At 42.8% G+C, this 24,222-nt stretch overlaps 1 long non-coding RNA gene and 2 pseudogenes across 1 annotated transcript in view, besides 1 other annotated feature; 1 reads left to right on the top strand and 2 right to left on the bottom strand.

Moving 5' to 3' along the window:
* The window catches only part of LOC105371240 (uncharacterized), a 124,894-nt gene that overhangs the window by 14,338 nt on the left and 86,334 nt on the right, over positions 1 to 24,222 (bottom strand). The window lies entirely within an intron of this gene.
* Positions 1,583 to 16,180, bottom strand: KLF8P1 (Kruppel like factor 8 pseudogene 1; annotated as a pseudogene).
* RNU6-257P (RNA, U6 small nuclear 257, pseudogene) lies at positions 2,192 to 2,289 on the top strand (annotated as a pseudogene).
* Positions 13,498 to 13,698: a silencer, noted in NCBI's record as "peak2581 fragment used in MPRA reporter construct". NCBI's record gives its function as "represses an SCP1 promoter by STARR-seq MPRAs in K562 erythroleukemia cells {active_cell/tissue: K562}" and the evidence as "EXISTENCE:reporter gene assay evidence [ECO:0000049][PMID:32103011]".

Here is a 24,222-nt window from a genome sequence, read left to right as displayed (position 1 = left end):
TCTCCAACAGGCTGAACTGACCCTCCAGAAACAGAAAAATTTGCCAAAAATCAATCTGCCAACAGCCAACATGCAAAATAACCAATTTTCCAAAAGTCCAATAAACAGTTGAAAAATTTACCAAATTCATCCTTTGTTTTCTAGATGCCCCTACATATTACCCTGCTTCTGTCTCCACCACTTGAATATTCATCTTCAAATTTCTATCAAAATGATCAATGGAATTGAACACTCAATGAACTGGTCATTCAGTGAATTGATTCTTAGCTAACTAATTTTCCACAAACAGCCCCTCACCTGTTGCATACACAGGCTTGTGAATCACTCTCCTGTTCTACAATTGGAGTTTCAAAGCACCTGTTAGAAAGAGGTTCAGTCCCGATCCACATAAGCCGGTCTGAATATGGGAGGTTTGTCACCATCATCTATTGAGAGACAACATCCTTCCCCAAGGTGGAAAAGAAGCTTTAGTGTTGAAAGCTTGCCTGCTGTTTGTTTACTTGAATTTGGGCGCTTTCTCTGACCTCGCTGAAAAGTCATGATGAAAGAGCAGGCTCTTGGCAGGTGTGTATGTTATAAGTGACATGCTTTAAAAACACCTCGTGTAAATCAGATATTGCCAGAAAATGGAAATTGCAGCTACAAATTGCATACTTATTACAGCAGTGTCTGATATATGAGGCAATGTTGATGCTACATAACAGGTAGCCTGAGAAATAGAAAGTTACATGTGGCACATAAAAGATAATTATTTTTCAATCCGCAATAATACAATCTCTCTTATTTTTGACATCACAGAATCCTACATCAAAACTGGAAAGATTCTTACGGACATTATCCAGCCCTTCATTTTACAGCTAAGGAGGCTAAGGCTTGTGAAGCGATGAAATCTGCCCAAGGTCACCCAGAGCCTGGCAGCACTGCTTCCTTGACATACCTCACCATATGGAGGCTCCATGGCTCTGTCCACTTTCCTTACTGAGTCCGTGGAAGCAGGAAGTCTACCTGAGTCTACTCCACATGAGGGACCAGAGACAAGGCAAGAGACACACGGCCCCTGCCATCAAGAAGCTCACATTGGCTACACTGGTGAAGAAGCTGAGCCCCAGGGAGCCCCCACAGGGAGCACTGACAGAGGCAGGTCAGATTGCCTCCCAAGCCCCTGACTCTGGGCCCACAGGGCAGTGCTGCCACAGCCCAGGGGCAGAGGTGTGTGCCCTGGCCCCTGAACTCACTGAATGCATTTTTTTAAATTCTCTTAAAAACGTGAGAGTCGATATCCCATTGTACTATAGTTTTACAAAATGCCATCATTGGGAGAAACTGGGTAAAGGGCATATGAGATCACTCTATTATTTCTTACAAATGCATGTGGAGCTACAATTATCTCAATATAATGTCAATTTTAAGACTACGGGAGGATTTTCAAAATGGCATAAAATGGTATATCCAGTCAAGACAGTGCTGTGGTTGGCTCACAAACCACTCTCACTCGAGCCTCACTTGAAAACAAAATAAACATCTCCCTAGAGAAGACCAGAAATGGATCAGCTGGGTGATGGACACCCTAAAAGCCCTAATGTGGCTGGGCTCGGTGGCTCACACCTGCAATCCCAGCACTTTGGGAGGTTGAGGTTGGTGGATCACCTGAGGTCAGGAGTTCGAGACCTGCCTGACCAACATAGTGAAATCCCGTCTCTACTAAAAATACAAAAATTAGCCCAGCACGGTGGCGCATGCCTATAATCCCAGCTACTCCAGAGGCTGAGGCAGGAGAATCACTTGAACCCAGGAGGCAGAGGTTGCAGTGAGCTAAGATCGCGCCATTGCACTCCAGCCTGGACAACAAGACCGAAACTCCATCTCAAAAACAAAACAAAAAAGCTCACATTTGGGTGCAGTGGAAATATAATGCTACAATGCTTGGGCTTTGCCTCTGCCTCTGCCTCTTCCTCATTCTGTGTCCTTGGGCAAGTCATCTAATCTCATTGGGTTTCAGTGCCTTGGTTTTTTTTTTAAAGATGGGGGTCTCACTATGTTGTCCAGGCTGGCCTTGAACTCGTAAGCTCAAGTGATGCTCCTTCCTCAGCCTCCTGAATAGCTGGGACTACAGGCGCACACCACTGTGCTCAGCTCTCAGTTTCTTAGTCTGCAAAATGAAACTAATTTCACCTACCTGTCTCACAAGGACATCATTTGGCAGCATATACACTAAAATTGGTAAAATACTGAGAAAACTAGCCCCTGTACAAGGATGACACACAAATTTATGAAACGTTCCATATTTTTTAAAAAAAGAATTAAATAAGACATTCTAGGTAGGATTATTAAAGATGGTATTTAAGCTATCAAGAGCCGTATTCATTTCAGACTCTACAAAAGAAGCGACATTGCAGGAAGACAGTGAGTGCTGTTGCAGTTCAGGGTCAAACTGATGTGGCAAAAGTCCTCAAGAACTATAGTCTTTTCTGTAGATCATCTATCCTGAAGACATTGCCCCAGATTTATCATTCCAGAAGCTATGCAGATCTGCCCTCTCCCAGGCACTCACAGGGTCATAATCATTCACTCCAATTCAGAGTTACTTTCTGATTTCAGAATTCAGAATTCTAAGGCCATTTAGTTGTCCAGGTGTGCACCTCTGAAACTGCCACCACTAATCCTATCTCACAGAATGTAAGCTGCCTGAGGGCTGGGATGTTTTGGTCTTTCATTCAGCAAATATTTACAGAGAGCCTACTTTATGCCCGACTCAGAACTAGCCACTGCCAGTGCTGTAATGTACAAAGAACAAAACAGACAAACTTGCTTTAATGGGTGTATGCAATTAAGAAATAGAAAGTGGGAGGCTAAGGTAGGAGAATGGTATGAACTCAGGAGGCAGAGCTTGCAGTGAGCCGAGATTGCGCCACTGCACTCCAGCCTGGGTGACAGAGCAAGACTCCATCTCAAGAAAAAAAAAAAAAGAAAGAAAGAAAAAGAAATAGAAAGTGAGGGGAAAAGGGAGAGTAAAACAACCCCACCAAGATAATGTCAGAGACTGGCAGGTAGTGTGACAGAAATGAATGTAACTGACTGATTTACTGACTGGGAAGTTGTGTGTGATTGGGTGGCATTCAGCTGGTATACACGTATGCTGTCCCAGTTGTAAATGGCTAGCATCTGTTTGGATTACCCAGTGATGGTACCAACCCTGTTATTAGAAAAGTTGAATGCCGCCCCTGGTGTATGGTACAGCATTAGTCAAGCAAGGCATCTTTAACAGCATAGCACTGTGCAAGAGCTGCATAAGGAGAGGTTGGCCATGAGTAGATGTAGGGCAGGCATGCTCCGAGAAACAGAACCAAAAGGTGCAAAAGAACTGTGGCAGGAACTAGCATGAAGTAAAAGAGCAGCAGAAAGAGGGCGGCCAGGGTAACACTGGAGCACAGGAACCTCCGAGGCCAGCCAGGTGGGCAGGAGACAAGGAGACAAGGTGGGCAGGAGCCGCCTATGGGATTTGGGGATTCTTCTCAGTGTGATAAGGAGACATAGAATCCTTATAAGGAGACTTCTAAGCAGGGAACAGGATTTGGGTTTTCATTTTTACACGAGCACCCTGGCTGCTTTTGTAGAGAGGCAAGAGTGTATCCTCAGTGCCTAGAATCATGTCTACTGCATAGCAGGTATTAAATAATCTACTATGAAATCAAAGAATGAATATGCTGAAACTTCTCTGTTGCTGAATGGAGCCATTCATGATATGAGTTTAGCTTCTTTTAGATCCTCTCTTTCTATGGCCATTACTGAGCAAAAGTGAATGTCCTCACAGACTCTAGCTGCTGATGGTGCTTGAACTGTTAGGATGAGCCCCAGGTTTGATGGTGGTTCCTAAGGCAGGCTCAGGGCCCTACACACCAGAGGTCCTCACAGGGTACCATGCTATGAATGGACATCTCAGATCTTTATCACTCACAGACATCAACATGCAGAAGCCTATGCAGAGGAGCTCCTATGTTTAAGTGGGTCTCTCTGCAATAATGGTAAAATTAGACTGTCATTCAAGAAAAGTGCTTCCTTCGGATTGCCATTAGCACCTCTGAAGTTGCAATCTGGGGTTTGCATGTGATTTTCTCATTTTGCAGACTTTATTGCCGCTTCTCAAAGGTGTTTTTTCATTGCAAATTTTCTTCTTTTCCCCTTGTCATCCCCCCATCTGCTCCCAACAGCCGTACTTCCCAGAGGGAAGGTCCTCACCATTATGCTCATCTTTTCACTCAGAGAGTAAAAAGCACTCTGAGGGGGAGTTGGGACATATACAGGAGGCCACAGTGAGGCCTTCAGAAAGGGATAGCACCATCTGTGGGTGACACTGTGGGTGGCCTAACCAACACATTTCCCCCTCCTTCTTCTTCCTAAAAGAATCCAGATTTTGTCCAGGTCTGCATGAAGCCATGTGTTTCACAGGAAACTAACCCCACCCCCAGCTCCAGGGATGAGACTGATTGCTTTGGAAGTAATCCCAAAACCCTTGCAATGATTGACTCAGGAAGGTCATGTGACCAAACTGAGCCAATGAAAGAAAAGGAGAAGCTTGGGCGAGACCTTTGTTTATTTATTTGGCATATATTTATTGTGCACCTACTATGTTCCAGGCACTGCTATTAAATGCTGGGAATATAGAAATTAAGGGGCAGGGAAAAGAAAGAAGTCATGACTCTGTGAAGAGAGACAGACAATAAACAAAATAAATCATAAAATATGTATAGTATTTGACGACGATCAGTGAAACAAGGTGAAGTAGAGCAGAGATGGAAAGCATGAAAGTCCAAGGGCTGCATTTTTAAATAGGGTCCTCAGGGAAGACTATCCGGGGAAGGTGAGGGATTTGTCATAATGAAGTCTGTAGGGAGATCATTTCAGGCAAAGGATCCTAGAGCAGGATGGGCTTAGCATGTTTGAGAAGCAGCAGGGAGGTCAGTGTGCTGGAGTAGAGTGGACAAGAGGGACAAGAGCAGAAGAGGAAGTCAAAGAAGTGACACTGAGGCCGATCCTGCTGGGCACTGTAGGTCTGGAAAGGACTCCAGCTTTTATACAGAGGCTGCCAGAGGGTTTTGAGCAGAACAGTGTCATGATTTGGCTTATGTTTCAACAGGATCCCTTAGGGTGCTGTTTAGGAAACAGACTAAGAGAAAGCAAGGACAAGAGCTGAAAGAGTTCATCCTCTATCTTCTGGGAGAGCTTCCAAAAGTCCTCTCTCTTGTCCTTTGATGTCATTATGAGTAGATGTGAGATGTGAGGAGAACTACTGCCTCTCCATACTCATCTGAGTGTGAAACCGCTCCACACAGGAAACAGAGCCAAGAGAACTACTGAGAAATGCACACAGAGCTACAAAATTTGGTCAACTATAAAGCTTACCTTGCACCTAAATTTCTGGTTCTGTGAGTCAATAAACATCCTTATTGCTTCAACCAAAGAAAGTTGAGTTTTCTGTTTCTTGAGCTCAAAATCTTTCCAACTGATTCATCATCTAGCCTCACTATCCATCAACACCATTTTCTCCCACTATGCATGCTGTGGCTACCCCAGAAAAGCTTATTTATTTATTTTTGAGACAGGGTCTCGCTTGGTCACCAAGGCTGGAATGCAGTGGTGCTATCTCAGCTCACTGCAGCCTCAACCTCCAAGGCTCAAGTGATCCTCCCACTTCAGCCTCCCAAGTAGCTGGGACTACAGGCATGCACAACCATGCCTAGCTATTTAAAAAAAATTATATATATATATACATATATATATATATATATTAGAGACAGGGTCTATCTATGCTGCCCAGGCTTGTTTAATGCTATGGAAGATTTCAATTCAGGAAATGGTGTCACTTTTTTCCCTGAGATGTCTTTCCATGGAATCCTCCAACTCTGAAGTCCACAGGCTGTCAGACTCATCACCTCTTCCTCACCATTTGTGTATTAAATCACCCAACATTTATTGAGTCTTGTACTGGGCTTCCCACTGTCCTGCATTGGAAAGATGAATCCCAGTTCTGAAGAAGTCAAGATTATGTGCAAAAGAGAGAGAGACAGCTCTTCTGGTTCCATGACTTTGGATTATGTTAAAAATGACTTTTCTTCAGTGCAGCCCACGTGGTCTCAAATGCCTGAGTCTCTCTGGGCCTCCATTTGACCCTTTGTAAAATGACCCTTTCCATCTCCAAGAGTCCATGGGCCTATGACTTATGGTAGCTTTCTTTTTGTATTGCTATTGTTTGAGTGTTTGCGTTTCTCCAAAATTCTTGTTGAAACTTAATCCTCAATGCAATAGTATTAAGAAGTGGGGCCTTTAGGAGGTAATTAGGTCATGAAGGTCCCACCAGATTATTGCCTTTATTAAATGTCTTGAGGGACCAAGTATGCCCCTTTTAGCCCTCCTTGCATGTGAGGACACAGTATTCATCTGCCACTATGCAAAGGCACAGCAACAAGGCACCATCTTGGAAGCAGAGAGTGACCCCTTACCAGACTCTGAATCCACTGCATCTTAATCTTGAACTTTCCAGCCTCCAGAACTGTGACAAACAAACGTTCATTCTTTATAAAACACCAAGTCTAAGGTATTTTGTTACAGAAGCCTGAACAGACTAAGACAGGTGTCAATCTCTACAGTTAAGCTTCTATAGCAGACAATGAACCAGAGGTCATAAAGACTTCTTCATATTTTTTCAAAGCCAGAGTTCATGACTAAGTGAATTTGGCAGCACCATGAGCCAAGTCACACTCTTCCACATAGTTTATAGCAAAAAGTTTTCATAATGTAGCTACCCCATAACAAAAGTATTAGTCATCTCCCCAATATCAACCTTGAATTTCCCATTTCTCTACATTTTTCCCTTCCTAACTTCTTGCTTTAAATGGTATAGCACTATGGTCAAGTTAACTTAGACTAGAACCAGACTGTCTGTTTAATGCCCTCATTCTTTTTGACCCCCACATATCAATCAAGTGATCTTTCTGACCGTGACTCTTACCCTCCTCTCTCACGAACTTCCTTAAAATTCTTCCCTAGTTACAGTAAGACTACATTTGGTTCTCTTACATCTCTGAAAGCTATCACTTCTAAGCCACCTTGGCTAATGCCTCAGCATCATTCATGAGTTATGTGGAACTATCCCTAGGTCCCGTCCTTGCCTTCCTCCCCTTCTAAACTCATTCTCCTTGAGCACCTCCCATCTTGCAAGTAAGTCCCAGACCTGTGTTTTTTCATACCTTTCCTTCTTGTCTGTGCACCAACCCACATTCCGCCCATGTCTTCTCCCTCCTTCCGCTTCTTCAATCTATCAATTAGGATTCATCCAGCAAAAACAGAAACCCTACTAGGTGTTCCAAATGGAGAGAACTTAATACAAGCAATTGACTACTCCAGTGATGGAAGGTCCAAGAAGTCAAGCAGAAGACATTGAGGCAACCCAGAGATCAACCACAGAAGGAATATGACACCAACCCTAAGGATGGAGGGACAGCAAAAAAGGTTGGAATTACCAGAGCCTGAAAGCTGCAGCTGTCCAGCAGACCCTAAAATCATGGCAGGAGCTGCCTGTTGGAAATAAAACCAAGTAAAGAGAGGCTGTCTGGCTACAAATGGAATCAGAGATGAGAGGTAGACACCTCAAGCCATTCTACTAGAAACAGAGAGAGGAGGAGGAATATTCTCCAGCTTCTCCTCTCCCTCACTCTTCAGTCTTCCAAAAATGCTTTCCTGAACTAAATGTCAAAGGACGCTGGGAAATGTAGCTCCCTGTGACAAAGATCAGATGGGAAAAGGACAGGCAAACAGCCAGTTTACCCACCCAGCAAGCTTCATCTCTCAATACCCACATTCATTCAAGTAGCTTCATTCTTCAGTTCTCCAAACCCAAAACCTTCAGAGTCATGCTGAATCTCTTCCTCCTACTTCTTCTGGCCCTCTCTGCAGTTTAGCCAACTGCTCTGAATTTTCTGTAAAATAAACTTCTTGTTAACTCCTCTTCCACAGTTCTGCAGCCACCATTGCAGTACAGCCACCATTGCAGTATAGCCACACTGCAGCCACCATTGCAGTACATTCCTTTCATACCTGGTCTTCCTGTTTCTAGTACCTCTTCCCTTCCAGCCCGCCCACTAGCTCCACATTTTCATTGGGAAGATGGAGCCCTGGTCCCAGCAGTTTCTGCAGAAGTCTCAGGTCTGACTATCTTTCCCTAAGCTTGGTCACATGATCTTCCATGAACCAATCACTGGACAGGTGAAAGGCATGTCCATGTCAGCTAAACAGAGAGAAGATGGAAGACTTATCTATTTATTTTGATAAATGTAAAAATAGTGCTTCTGATTGGTTGGGCTTTAGTCACATCTCATCCTTGAAACCAGAAGTAGGGTCAGCCAGAAAGTGAGTGAAGGGTAGTTCTCCAAAGGAAAAACAAGATTCTGTTTTTAAAAGTATAAGGAATGAATGTTGTAGAGAGGAAAAAAGCAAGGGTATGATACACATTCCTTTCATTGTCTCTCCTGCAAAAGAAACCAACAAATCTCTATTCCTTAGCTGATTTCAAGACTGTGTTATGTTGCAGAAAGACTAGAAACAACCTAAACATCCATCAATGGGGAATGACTAAAGCTAAATGGAGTGATGTGCCATGGTCTTAGGCTTTATTGTTTCATCCAAGGATCAAAGAAAAGAACACACTACAATTTTTTTTATTATACTTTAAGTTCTAGGGTACATGTGCACAACGTGCAGGTTTGATGCATAGGTATACTTGTGCCATGTTGGTTAGCTGCCCTCGTCAACTCATCATTTACATTAGGTATTTCTCCTAATTCATCCATGTCCCTACAAAGGACGTGAACTCATCCTTTTTATGACTTCATAGTATTCCATGGTGTATATGTGCCACATTTTCTTAATCCAGTCTATTATTTATGGACATTTGGGTTGGTTCCAAGTCTTTGCTATTGTGAATAGTGCCACAATAAACATACGTGTGCATGTGTCTTTATAGTAGCATGATTTATAATCCTTTGGGTATATACCCAGTAATGGGATTGCTGGGTCAAATGGTAATTCTAGTTCTAGGGATCACCACACTGTCTTCCACAATGGTTGAACTAATTTACACTCCCACCAACAGTGTAAAAGCCTTCCTATCTCTTCACATCCTCTCCAGCATCTGTTGTTTCCTGACTTTTTAATGACTGCTGTTCTAACTGGTGTGAGATTGTATCTCATTACGGTTTTGATTTGCATTTCTCTGAGGGCCAGTGATGATGAGCATTTTTTCATGTGTTTATCGGCTGCATAGATGTCTTCTTTTGAGAATTATCTATTCATATCCTTTGCCCACTTTTGGATGGAGTTATTTGTTTTTTTCTCATAAAGGGTTTGTTTGAGTTCTTTGTAGATTCTGGATATTAGCCCTTTGTCAGATGGGTAGATTGCAAAAATTTTCTCCCATTTTGTAGGTTGCCTGTTCCCTCTGATGATAGTTTCTTTTGCCGTGCAGAAGCTCTTTAGTTTAATTAGATCCGGTTTGTCTATTTTGGCTGCTGTTACCGTTGCTTTTGGTATTTTAGTCATGAAGTCTTTGCCCATGCCTATGTCCTGAAAGGTATTGCCTACGTTTTCTTCTAGGGTTTTTATGGTTTGGGGTCTAACATTTAAGTCTTTAATCTATCTTGAATTAATTTTTGTATAAGGTGTAAGGAAGGGATCCAGTTTCAGCTTGCTACATATGGCTAGCCAGTTTTCCCAGCACCTTTCATTAAATAGGGAATCCTTTCCCCATTTCTTGTTTTTGTCAGGTTTGTCAAAGATCAGATGGTTGTAGATGTGTGGTGTTATTTCTGAAGCCTCTGTTCTGTTCCATTGGTCTATATATCTGTTTTGGTACCAGTACCATGCTGTTTTGGTTACTGTAGCCTTGTAGTATAGTTTGAAGTCAGGTAGCATGATGCCTCCAGCTTTGTTCTTTTGGCTTAGGATTGTCTTTGCTATGCGGGCTCTTTTTGGGTTCCATATGAACTTTAAAGTAGTTTTGTCCGATTCTGTGAAGAAAGTCATTGGTAGCTTGATGGGGGTGGCATTGAATCTATAAATTACCTTGGGCAGTATGGCCATTTTCATAATATTGATTCTTCCTATCAGTGAGCATGGAATATTCTTCCATTTGTTTGTGTCCTCTTTTATTTCGTTGAGCAGTGGCTCTCCTTGAAGAGGTCCTTCTCATCCCTTGTAAGTTGCATTCCCAGGTATTTTATTCTCTTTGTAGCAATTGTGAATGGGAGTTCACTCATGATTTGGCTCTCTGTTTGTCTGTTATTGGTGTAGAGGAATGCTTGTGATTTTTGCACATTGATTTTTTTTTACAGTTTATAGAGTTTTATTTCATTTTTACAGTTTTTAATTTTTGTGGGTACATTGTAGGTGTAAGTATTTATGAGGTACATGAGGTACCTTAATACAGGTATACAATATTTCTAGCACCCCTAACACTTCCCTCCTGCCTTTTTGCAGTTATCCCTTCATGCCTGACCTCAGGCGACTTCTGTCATTAGAGATAAGTTTGCTTTTTCTAAAATTTCAGAGAAATGAACTATGGTGTATGTAGTGTTAAGCTTTTTTTGCAGAGCATGCTTTTCAGATTTATTGAAGCTGTTGTTTTTATTAGTTCATTTCTCTTCATTGCTAAATAGTATTCCATTTCATGCACATTGATTTTTTATCCTAGACTTTGCAGAAGTTGCTTATCAGCTTAAGGAGATTTTGGGCTGAGATGATGGGGTTTTCTAAATATACAATCATGTCATCTGCAAACAGGGACAATCTGACTTCCTCTTTTCCTAATTGAATACCCTTTATTTCTTTCTCTTGCCTGATTGCCCTGGCCAGAACTTCCAACACTATGTTGAATAGGAGTGGTGAGAGAGGGCATCCCTGTCTTGTGTCTGTGTTCAAAGGGAATGCTTCCAGTTTTTGCCCACTCAATGTGATATTGGCTGTGGGTTTGTCATAAATAGCTCTTATTATTTTAAGATACATTCCATCAATACCTAGTTTATTGAGAGTTTTTACCATGAAGGGCTGTTGAATTTTGTCGAAGGCCTTTTCTGCATCTATTGAGATAATCATGTGGCTTTTGTCTTTGTTTCTGGATTACGTTTATTGATGTGCATATGTTGAACCAGGCTTGCATCCCAGGGATGTAGCTGACTTGATCGTGGTGGATAAGTTTTTGATGTGCTGCTGGATTCGGTTTGCCAGTATTTTATTGAGGATTTTCGCATCGATGTTCATCAGGGATATTGGTCTAAAATTCTCTTTTTTTGTTGTGTCTCTGCCAGTCTTTGGTATCAGGATGATGCTGGCCTCATAAAATGAATTAGGGAGGATTCCCTCTTTTTCTGTTGATTGGAATAGTTTCAGAAGGAATGGTACCAGCCCCTGTTTGTACCTTTGATAGAATTCGGCTGTGAATCCGTCTGGTCCTGGACTTTTTTTGGTTGGTAGGCTATTAATTATTGCCTCAATTTCAGAGCCTGTTATTCGTCTATTAAGAGATTCAACTTCTTCCTGGTTTAGTTTTGGAAGGGTGTATGTGTCCAGGAATTTATCCGTTTCTTCCATATTTTCTAGTTTATTTGCATAGAGGTGTTTATAGCATTCTCTGATGGTAGCTTATATTTCTGTGGGATTGGTGGACACACCACAAGTTTTTAAAGAAAAAACTGTAAGCAGAATATGGTCCTTGTGTCTTGTATCTGTATTTAAAATTGCTGGGAGGATACACAAGATCAGTATAATAAGGACCATCTCCAGGAAAGAACAAAATGGGGAGGAAACTTAATTTTGGCTGCATCTCCTTTTGTGCCATTTGAACTTTATGCAGTGTGGCTGTTAGTTTACCAATAAATGAATGAAATTTTAAAAACATAAAGCAAATAGGAGCCCAAAGAGAAAGTTATTGGTAACCCCACAGGTTCTAAATGTCATTTCTCACAGTCACCAACCCTCTCATCCAGACCATTGTGCAGAGGCCCAGGTCCAAGGGGTTTGTTTGCTCTTGCCCAGTGTGCAATGACCAAGGCTATTCAATCACCATTATCATCATTATCCCTGACTTTTTTTGAGCACTTACTATGATCAGTTGCAGTGCTGAGCCTTTTACATGTATTACCTCTTTTAATCCTGATAACAACTCTATAATGTAGCTGTTACTATTACGATTGAGTTGCCTAAAGTCACACACTTGATGGGAAAATGATAAAGCTATGATTAATACTTAACTAATCCCATTATAGAACCAACATTATTAACCATGGCATCCTACTGCCTTTAAATAAGTAAGGTATGGTTTATGACTTACGAGCCCAGGCCACACTGACAGCTACAATGTCTGCTTTCCCAGGACCTGGGAAGGGTCCTTCTGAAAGAGCATCCAAAATCTCTCAGTCTGAGCACCTCTTTACATTTCAAAAAAAGTTTCAGAATATTTGGGAACACACAGGCTGGATCATTGCACATGACCTCGAGCTTATTGATGCCTGCTGGAGGTGAAAGGCCTGTCCATGTCAGCTAAACAGAGAGAAGATGGAAGACTTATCTATTTATTTTGATAAATGTAAATGAATTCTATTACTTGTCAAAATGTTATCAAGACCCCAGTGAAATGAGCAGTCTTTTTTTTTTTTCAGGGTGAAGGGAGTGAAGGGAGAGAGAAATGAATGCTCAAGACAGATTGCTTTGATTTGAAATGAAAACAAACAACTTTAGGGGAAAAAAAGGCTTTCATTATTTTGGAGACCTTGGCATTCTTGCAGACACATTCATGAATTAATCATTAAAACCCTGAAATAAATCATGTGGTTTTTCAATGCCAGCCCACGATAAAGGGGGCCTCAAACAGTTATTAAGACACAGTGCTTTAAAGCTGCTACTGCCTACGATGACTTTTCTCTAGGAATAAAGTGAATGAAGTGTGTGTGTGTGTGTGTGTGTGTGTGTGTGTGTGTAAGGCAACCCTGTGGTCCCAGGCTGGAACTGTGTGCAAGCCAGTTCCAACTGTGTGTCACCACATATTAGCACTATTTAATATCTGCTAATGGAATGGCTCTGTCTGCCATCGACAGCAGGATCAAAAGAGGGCCATGCATCTTTTAAATTATTAGCACTAATTAGGCAAATCAAAGAGGAGGAGGGCAGAGAGACCAGAGAATGCATTAGAAGGAAAGCAAGGGGATCGCTACCTACTTCATACTGTCAAGATCCAGCTACTAAACAGCCAATTAGTGCTGAAGACCTTTCCGGAGCAACGGAAGAATGAGCAGGCCTGCCCCAAGTAGAAGCACGATGGCTTCATTATGGTAACTCCGAATTAAAATGTAAAGGTTGCTGATCATTGCGTAATTAAATAAGGTTGCAGGCGCCCGCTATCCAGGAGTTTCCAGGGCTCCTTTATTAAAGCCACCTTCTCTGCTTCCTCAATGGCCCTCCCACAGGCAGGCCTGGAGCTGTCCGTAGTCCTGACAAACATACTGACTTCTTAAAAGGCCTGTTAGAGCCAAAGCGCTTTGAGGGGGCTTTCTTCCTAACTACTCCATTACCACCACCCCATTACCAATCCCGAGGATCATTCTGCTTTTCTTTAGAACCCATTTTCCAACTAATTAGTCGAGAAAAAGATGGGGAGTGGAGAGTGAAAAAAAGACCAAGCCTAATTAACTCCCAGTCACTGCAATCTAAATATAAAGTTACTGAAACTGAGGTTGTCCCCTGTTGATGTAACCTTTATCCCTCTTCTTTTATACCTGCTGGGAGGAAGCACAATTTTCTTGAGTTTGATTGGGACTTAATCCCAGGCCGCTGATCACAATGCCATATCCAGATGCTTTGCAGGTGTGCAAGATAGCAGGGCAGTAGGCCTAATACACCTGGTCCTAGACCATGAAAGAAACATCTTTTTACCTCAGAGGCTGGGTGTGATCGGTTCCTGGGAGGTCAAGCTAGGAGAGCCTTATCTTCTCAGAACTGTGGAGTGATTCAATTTTAATTTTGCTCCTTCAGTCCTTTTGTACATATGCTTTTTCTTCTCTGTATCTTCTATCTTGTTTCCTCTCTTTCCTTTTCTCTTCTTTCCTATCTTTTCTCTCATATTTCTAGTTCCTCTTCTTTTTATTTCTCAGATCTCTTCTTTCTCTATCCCTATTTCTCCCTCTTTTTTTGAAAACCAAACTTTAAGAAGAAATAGGATTCGATTTATCTAAACCTTTGAGTTTGGTGTGGGACTCAGCTTATTCACTGGAAATGTGCCTCATACTCAGGAATCGAATCCCTGTAAATCTTAACAGTCAATTACATTGTTACACTCCTTCCATCTAGGAACTCAAGAAAAGTAATTTAGGACACTATCAAACCACCTTTAGGTACTTATTTTAGAAACATATGGATAAGCGTTCTAGAAAACAAGAAAAAAATAGGAAAGAAAAAAGCAGCGTATGTTTGTTCACAGCCTTGAATTTGATTCCTGTTTTGTTACTTCAGGAAAAATGTCCTATTTCAGGGCAGGGGGAATGGGAGGGCAGCCATGTATGTCACACTGGAATTCAACCCATGTGGAGGTTGAAAAAACCAGGTCTGGACAGTGGAGAGGTGAAGGTGGAATACGAAGAGCCCCACGGGAGACCAGCTATGTTTTCCTCCAGTCTCCTCAACTTGGCTCAGTGGGCTGCTTCAAGTCAATTCCAGATGCAACTTGAAGTCAAAGAGAAAAAAGTGGTCCTAACCTCAATACACAAACAGGAAAGATACCAGTGAAGCTTCTCTAGTGTGACCTGTGCAGCTCACATAGTATCATGGCGACAGTGGTGCAGGGACAGGTGGTCAGAACCAGAAAAGCTGCAGTTGGAGTCTGTGCAGTGGAAAGGCTTGATGCCTGTGTGCTCGAGGAAAGAGCTAGTGAGCTCATCTGAGTGAGCGAATTTCCAGGAGCAGCCATCGCAGGTGCATTTATAAGTCTTCTCTCCTATATGAATTCTGTGGTGAGCTTTCGGGTGAGAGCTTTTGGAGTACACTTTGCTGCATCCTGCAAAGTCACATTGGTGCATCCGTCTTCTTCTCAAGTCAAGCGACTCCTCCCTGCATTTGGGCCATTGCTGCTGGTTCTTGCTTTAGTCCCTGCAGACTCTGTGAGATTGAGGATCCACTCTTAATTGCACTCTCCTCACTGTCACTTGGAATCTCCAGTAGAGACATGAAAGCGGGGTCAACTTTCACTGATCCAGCATTTGTACCATCTCCTCCAATGAGTGGGACTGTATTGGGTGCAGGGCCCTCATTTGCAGGCAAAGTAGTATACACCATGGGCAGAGACTGCACCACGACTGGGATGGCATTCAGGTAACCCATCTTACTTGGAAGACAGACTGAGGGGATGCTGTGAATGACATGTAAGATCTGCTAGCCACCAGTGCCCTGAGAGGGAGTCAGGACAGATCCTGTGGTCAGAATAGCAGGAATGTTTGCTGATGTTGAAGTGAACACCACAAGGGTCTCGGGAGCAGACTGTGGCTTGGGAGGATGTCCTGGAGCTTGCAGCATGCTAACAGGGTGGAGAGGAGCCTTGGGCTTGTGAGAGGAGAAGTCAACTGGTTCCACTGGGGACAGGCTGAAATCACTCGCCAAAAGTTCTTCTGGGGCTCAAACTTGATGTCATTAAACAATGCTGGGTTCTCCATGGGGTTGGCATCCAGGAGTGGTGGAGAAGTCACATTATTTCTGCTTCTATCTCAGGGGGATCTGTGCTCTGAGTAGGGCCAGTGATGGGCTTGAATATCTGCATTGAGCCACCTTCTGAATTAAGTTGCACCTCCAAGTTGTTTATGAGTTGATCCATATCAACCATGTCACTGGCTGAAGACTCCTGAAGTGTCCAGAACTCATACAGTCCTTAGGGAGGCTCGTACTCCTGAGCTAATTGCAAGACAGCTGTTCCCCTCACACCTGCCCCAATCTGACATCACACAGGGCGATGCCCTCTCATCTTCTCTTTCTTGCCCCCACCAGGCTTTTACTGGTTGAACTGCTTTTACTCCTGGTTGAACACAAAGTTAAGGCAGAGAAGGAAACCTTCAAGACAGAAACCCATGAGGAGCTACCACAAGATCCCCTCACCTCCGCCATTGCTGCCACACACCCCAGTGCCTTCCAGAGTGGGTGGAATGATTCTTTCTCTCTATTTCTCCCTTTTTAAAAAATTCTGTCACTTATCATATTATCGCTATAACTACAGAAAACATGAAGTTTTCATCCACTCACTCTTTGATTTTTGTCTATAGACTCCTTGGTTTAACTAAATTTTTTGGAATGGTCCAAATTACCATTTTCTCTTCCAGAAATCCTAAACAAAGGCTGAAATGATATTTTAAAGGAGAGTTGGGTCCTCAGGAGTCATGACAGGAAGTAGGTGTATGAGTTAGTGTAGGCTGGGCTGCAGTAACAAACAGACCCAGTCATGTAATGGTTCAAAACAATAGATTTTATCTCTTTCTCACACAATAGCCCAAGGTAGGTCCAGGTTGGTGAGTGGTCCCTTCCCCACACAGTTACTCAAAGACACAGGTTAAGAGTGACTCTGACATCTTCAATGAATGTCTTCCAAGATGGACAGGAGGTGAAAGAAGCATAAGTAGGAGATTTTTAAGGACCAGACCTGGAAGTGCCATACACCAGCTTCCACTCATGCTCCATTGGCCAGAATTCAGTCATCTGCCACAAATAACTGTAAAGGATGTTAAGAAATATATTAAACCATGTGTCATAAAAACCAGAACCTGATATTGGTGACCATTTAGCAATCTCTGCCAAATGAGACACAGGAAAGAGATGGTGAAGAAAGTCATTGGCAGAAAAGTGAAGAACCAAGAGCTGTGTCCACACGACAGCAGACGTGCAAGTCTTGGCACAGAACTTGTCCTGGGAAACGGTAGGAGACTTGTTTAGACAGCTAGGGGCCACTTCTGGCCAATCAAGATGCTCTCTATGGTGCACCCCACCTATTGGAACGTCACTGTAGTGCAGGGATTCAGGGCATAGGATTCAGTTTCTGAGTCAGACAGGCATGGGAGGAAATCCAGATCCCCCTCTTTCTAGATATGTGATCTTGAATAAGATATTTCTGTAAGCCTCGGTTTCATCATCTATAAAATGAGAGAAAAATAATGCTTGCCTTATGTGATATCTCTGAAGATTACACAATATAAAAGATGCAAAATTCTTAGCACGATATCTGACACATAGCAGGTACTCAATAGATGGCAATTATTGACACTGTTTGACCATGCTCACCACTGCTACCCTGGTATTGTTCTTGGAGTTCTTTCTATCTACAATGGCTGCTTCCTACATATTTCCCCACCTGTTCCAAGTCCTATCTTCTTCAGAAAGCCCTTACCTTGTATTTCATTTCCAATGACCTGCTTTAAGTCTATGCAACCCTATTGAGCACTTTATTATTACAGTCCTCCCACTACAAATGCAAGCTCCATGAGGGTTCAGGCTATTATTTATCTCATTTATTTGTTGTATCCCAGAGCCTAGCACAGTGTCTGGCATATAACAGGTGTTCAACTATTACATTTGCTAAGTATATATTCAATGAATATGAGATATACCCATGCCAATGAGCCTTATTCAGTGCCCTTTATAGGTACAGAATTATATAGCTTTGGGGTTATTCTCTAATTTTCCACATCAGTTAGTCTTGTCTTCCTGATGAAATTGAATTCACAGTAGCCACAGTGATCTTTTTAAAATGTAAATTGGATCCTATCATTCCTGTGCTTGACCCTCTCCAATGACTTCTCACCCCCTTAGAATAAAATGCAAACTCCTCACTGCAACCTGTGGGTCCCTGCAAGACCTGGCCCTGCTGTCCTCTATCCTTTCACTCCTCTTTCCTCAAGCATCACTGTGCTTGAACTGCACGGGCCATCTTTCTATTCCTTTAATACACCAACCTTGTTCCCATCTCACAGTCATCCCCTATTCCTGAGACACTTTCTCCAAGTATATTCTCAAAGCTTGGTCCTCCCCATCATTCAGGCCCCAACGTCACTCTTTCTGACAGGCCTTCGCTATCAACACTGTATGAAGTGGTTCTCCTTCCATCACTCACTGCCTTAGTTTGGATTCTCTGGAACCCATACTCTGAGTTAGAGAGCTGTTTGCAGGAAGCCTCTAGGGACTGCCCTTAGGATTAGCACCTATGGGGGAGTGAAGGAAGCAGAACCAAGCAGAGGGAGGAGTTAAGCTGAGATGCATCACAGTGAAGGCCTCCACTGATCCCACTGTGAACTTGGAGTTGGAGGGGCCCTGTAGAGCTGCTCCTCTTTTATTTCACTTCATAACATACTTCTCACTTTCTATAATTATCTTGTTAGTTTTTTTCATGCATGCTGTCTGTCTCTGGCCCCATAATAGAAGCTTCATGGGAATGGGAAATCATTTGGCATTTTCACTTCCGTATCCCAGCACCTAGTACAATGCCTGCCTCATAGTGGCACTCAGTCCGTGTTTGCTGAATGCATGAATGGGTGGTGACTGAATATGAATGGCAGAGTTGTTAAGTCCCCAAGGGCAGGCCCTGTTTCCTACTGTTCTTGAAGCAGTGACTCCCTGGATACTTGATTGGCATCACCTGTTACCTTCCATCCCCTCTAACCAGCCACTTGTGACTCTCCGAATGTGAGAGACTTCCCTGACACAATCGCAGGCTATTTTTAGTCTATTTTTTCCTCTCTGGTCTATTATAGTGGTGAGAAGAGGCTGGCTACCTGAGGCTTGCAGTAGCTCTAAATAAAACCAATCTTCCTCTCTCTGAAAAACCCTAGGAGGTGTCCTCTGTGCCAGGCTACAGGGTGACAACCACCCAGGCTGTGTTTACTGAGAGCTCTGTGATTATGTTTTTTAGTCTTCTGGTTGGAGGTACCTATGGAAGTGATTATGGAAGTACACACAGGCACCAGAGTCTCTCCTCCTTCCCACAGACACACAAACATAGGCTTTTCCCTCTTCCTCGATGGGCTGTCTTCTCTCATTAGACGGCTTTCTAGGCCGTAGAAGATTTCTCTGGGGCTGACCCTAAGGGGCCTCTTTCAGCTAATTAGATTGCAGACTGGAAGGCAGACTGTGGGCTCCTTTAATAATCTTCTATTCAGGGCTTCACATGCTCATCTAGTTTGAACATTGGGGAGGAAATTATTTTCTTCTGAAACAGTGACAGACAGCAAGAAAGAGCGTATGAGGAAACAGGTTTTCTCCTTCAGATTCTACAAGCATGAAGGACAGATGTAATGATGCTCTTCCACGGATACTTTAGAGAGATCTGCTGTGTGGCTTGGAAAGGCAGTCCTGAATCACCAGACATAGCCTTTCTCAATAATGAGGCACTCTCCTGATTCCCTTGAGAAGAAAGGATGGAGGGAGGCACCATCCCCTTTATAGGTAAGCAGAAGACTTTGAGATGCAGACGACTTCCATGGCTCTGAAATCCAAGTGGCCACACCCTTTACTAGCTGTACAACCTGTCTTGCAAATTTATTGAGCAGAGATTTAGAATACCCTGGGTTTTAATTCTAGCTCTACCACTGTGTTACAGCCCTGTGTTCTTGAATAAATTACCTAATTTTATGAACTTTAGTGTCCTCTTCTCCTTCCAGGTGTGTTCAGAGAATTCAGTTTGAAAACAAGTGTAAGCTACGTGCAGAGGGACACACCTGTAGTCCTGAGCTTAAGAATTCAAGGCCAGCCTGGGCAACATAGTAAGAATCTGTCAGGAAAGAAAGAAAGAAAGAAAAAGAAAGAAAGAAAGAAGGAAGGAAGGAAGGAAGGAAGGAAGGAAGGAAGGAAGGAAAGAAAGAAAGAAAGAAAGAAAGAAAGAAAGAAAGAAAGAAAGAAAGAAGGAAGGAAGGAAGGAAAGAAAGGAAGGAAGGAACAGAGAAAGAAGGGGGAGGGAGGGAGGAAGGGAGGGAGAGAGAGAAAGAAAGAGAGAAAGAAAGAAAGAAAGAGAAAGAAAGAAGGAAAGAAAGAAAGGCAGGAGGAAGGGAGGCAGGGAGGAAAGAAGGAAGGAAGGAAGAGGGAGGGAGGAAAGAAGGAAGGAAGGAAGGAAGGAAGGAAGGAAATGTAAAGTGTTAAGCATGGTGCCTGGCACATTGCAAATGTTCAATAAATAGTAGCTAATATTATTATAGCCCCAATCTGTAAATGGGGATGTTAATAGAATTTGCCTCCTGGGCTGATTGTAAGGGTTAAGTGAGATGATGTATGTAGTGATTTAAACAGTGCCTGGCATAGTGTGTGTCTTAGTCAGCTCAGGCTGCCATAACAAAATACTATAGACTGGGTGGCTTAAACAACAGAAATTTATTTTCTCATAGTTCCAGAGGTTGGAAACTCCAAGATCAAGGTTACAGCAAGGTTCAGTTCCTGTGATATTTCTCTTTCCAGCTTGCACATAGCTGCTTCTCACTGTGTCCTAACATGGTGGAGAGAGAGAATGAGCTCTCTAGTGTCTCTTACTACAGTAACACAAATCCTATCAGATCAGAGCCCCAACCTTATGACCTCATTTAAACTTCATTACCTCCTGAAGACCCCATCTCCAGATACAGTCACATTGGGGGTTAGGACTTCAACATATGAATTTGAGGGGGATGGAATTCAGTTCATAGCTGTATGTACTCAATAAACTGTGGCTGCTACGATTATTATTAGCATTGCTCAAAGAAGTACGTGGCTGTGCTGGAATCAAACTGATACCTTAAGTCTGACATTTCAGTGGTCTTTCCACACCTTCGGAATCACTGCACCAACTTCCAGCAAATACCTTTTACTGCTCAGAACCGTGCTTGCTTCCTTTCAGCTGAAGCTGACACTATTGGAGCGCCATCCAAATTCCCACAGATCCATTTTTTCATGTGTGTACCCCCAGATTGGATGTTCTTTTGACTACAATGGCCTGGGCCTGCACCTCCTTTTTCAAGGACTGCCCTTGGGCTACTGGGGCTGTTTTCTGTGCTCAGGCAGAGAGCTGTGACCTCCTGGGAGCTTACTTCCCCCCACAAAAAAAAACTTAGGCAAATTAAATTTAATTGAGTTTAATTGAACAAAGAAGGAATCATGAATCAGGCATCCCCCAAACCAGAACAGGTTCAGAGAGGCCCCAGTGTAGCCATGTGGCAGAAGAAGATTTATGGAGAGAAAAAGGAAAGTGGTGCTCAGAAAATGGAAGTGAGGTTCAGAAAACGGAAGTGAGGTATAGAAACAGCTGGATTGGTTGTAGCCCAGTGATTGCCTCATTTGAACACAGTTTGAACAGTTGGACCCCTTTGATTGGCCAAAACTCGGAGACTGGCACAAGAATAGGTTACAATCTGTTTACACATTCAGTTAGGTTACAGTTCACTGTGTATGGGGAAATCTTTGGACTGAACTTAGAACATGTAAGGAGGAAGCTTTAGGCTAAACTTAACACCCTTGTTTTCAAGACAACTTTGAGGTGTAATTTACACTCCAGACATCCCCTTCAGGATCAAGCAGGAGCCACCCTCCACAGCACTTTGTCTAAAATTGCACTCTTGCTTGGCAGCCTTTCCTCACTGGACCTACCTCCCCTTCCCTTACCAGTTCCTCTAGGAGCACTTCCTTGATAGATCACTTGCATTCAAGTCCTGATCTCAGAGTCTGCTTCTGGGGAACATAGCCAAGACATCAGCTCAATTGTCGGTCCCTCTAGGACACTGTCCCTGGCCCTCTAAGAACTTTTACTTGTTTTAACCTAGGAATTCCTCATGACAAACCCATGGGCTGGTGCTTCAATGATCCCCATTCTGCAGATAAGAAAACATGATCTAAAGAAAGGTCAAGTAGCTTGCCCAACATCACACAGCTGATGAATGGCGCAGGCATATGGTGACCATACTGCTTTCCTGTCATTCTCTTACCCCAACTCTTTGCCTAGATGACAGCTCTTTAGGGAAGGAACTATTGTTGCTCCTTTTGGCACCCTAGCACTTTACTTACAACGTAGCATCCATCAGGGACTCGGGAAATAATGAATGAGTGAATGAATGAATTAATGAATGGCCTGCATACTTGTTCAGCAGCTGCCTGGATCTTCCAGATAGGGCAGGTCATTCATTCACCTGCCCAGGGATCCCTTCTCATGTTATTCTACCTGAGCCTCAAAGATGGGCATTACCAATGGCATTCATTCTCAGCACCAAAACCTTCAGGGAATTTTAAGTCAACTTAACCACAACCACCAACTTCTCTCCCCCAGCTCCACAGGATTGCTCCTGGCCACAAACCCATGTTCCAAGCTGCCTGGTGGGAGGTAATAATTACAATAATCAGCAGCAACAGTGATATTCTGAGTGCTTATTGAGTGCTTACTGTACATCATTATTGAGTGATTACTGTGGATCCTTATGGAGTGCTTATGGTATATCAGGTCCTATACTAAATACATTACACTACAACCCTGTGCAGTATATTCTATTATTGTCTTCATCTTGGAAAACAGGAAACTGAAGATCAGAGAGTTCAGATTATCCTCCTGATGTAACAAAGCAGGTAAGAAAATAAGCTGGGATTTAGACCTGCTTTTATCTGGCTACAAGACACATTCTGTTAACTCCAAAGATCATAAACTCAAGACCATAGGCCTAAAGGGCCACTGGCTCTGTGTCATTTGACCTACATAGTGGGTGGTGGTGGTTGTTTTTTTAAGTTTAATTAAATGCCAATATGTAAGAATGTCTATTGCACCAAATACAATCTGGATTTTTAGCTTCTCTTGAAAATAATCAGAAGATCTGTTAGCTTAGAGCCCACAATTCTGCCTAGACATAATTGGCTGCAGCTGAATATAGGCTCTTTATTACAGTTTGCCCCAATCCCCACCACTCCTTACTGTTTTACACGAGCCCTGCTTTATTCATTTGTTTTACCTCCCTGGCCCCTGGGAGGGTTTGAGTTTGCTACTCTCTGTCGCCCACCATGCCAGATCCCCTCTTATAACTGAAAGCACTCCTCCCACCAGGGAAGATAGCAACAGCAGCATTTAGATGACATGGATGGTAATAACGTGGTGATGCTTCATATTTTACAAAGCACTCCTGCATTCATTATCCTATTTAGTTTTCAAAATAATAACCATTTCCTGGGCAACTGATCTGGGCCAATGTCTGTTGCCAAGCACAGGAGGGGCAGAGAATAATACAGAATAATCTCAGCCTTCCATAAGCACACAGCCCTGCAGTGAAGACAGCCCACTGAAATGAAAGCCCAGCATGGTCACAGAAGACATTTTTACCCAGCACAGGGAGAGGCAGAGAGACAGCAACTAGCAGCTCAGGTATTTTAGACAGTTTGGGCTACAACAAAGTACAGGCATACCTCAGAGATATTGTGGGTTCATTTCCAGGCCACTGCAATAAAGCAAATATTGCAATAGAGCAAGTCACACGAGACTCTTTGGATTCCCAGTGCATATAAAAGTTATGTTTACACTATACTATAGTCTATTAAGAGTGCAATTACATTATGCCTAAAAAAATGTACACACCTTAATTTTAAAATGCTTTATTGCTAAAAATTGCTAACAATCATGTCAGCCTTCAGTGAGTAGTAATCCTTTTGCTGGTGGAGGGTCTTGCCTCAATGTTGATGGCTGCTGATTGATTTGGGTGGTGGTTGCTGCAGGTTGAGATGACTGTGGCAATTTTTCTAAATAAGATAACAATGATGTTTGTCACATAAATTGACTCTTCCTTTCATGAAAGATTTCTCTGTAGCATGCGATGCTGCTTGACAGCATTTTACCCACAGCAGAACTTCTTTCAAAATCTGAGTCAGTCCTCTCAAATCCTGCCAGCTGCTTTATCTACTAAGTTTATGGAACATTCTAAATGCTTTGTTGTCATCTCAACAACGTTGACAGTATCCTCACCAGGAGTGGATTCCATTTCAAGAAACCACTTTCTTTGGTCATCCATAAGAAGCAACATTTTATCCTCTAAAGTTTTATTGTGAGACTGTAGCAATTCAGTCACATCTTCAGGCTCCACTTCCAACTCTAGTTCTCTTTTTATTTTCGCCACATCTGTAGTGACTTCCTCCACTGAAGTCTTGAACCCCTCAAAAATTATCAATGTG

This window comes from Homo sapiens, chromosome 16, assembly GCF_000001405.40.
Source record: "Homo sapiens chromosome 16, GRCh38.p14 Primary Assembly".
Classification (NCBI taxonomy): Eukaryota; Metazoa; Chordata; class Mammalia; order Primates; family Hominidae; genus Homo; species Homo sapiens.
This window is presented reverse-complemented; position numbering and strand designations above follow the sequence as displayed.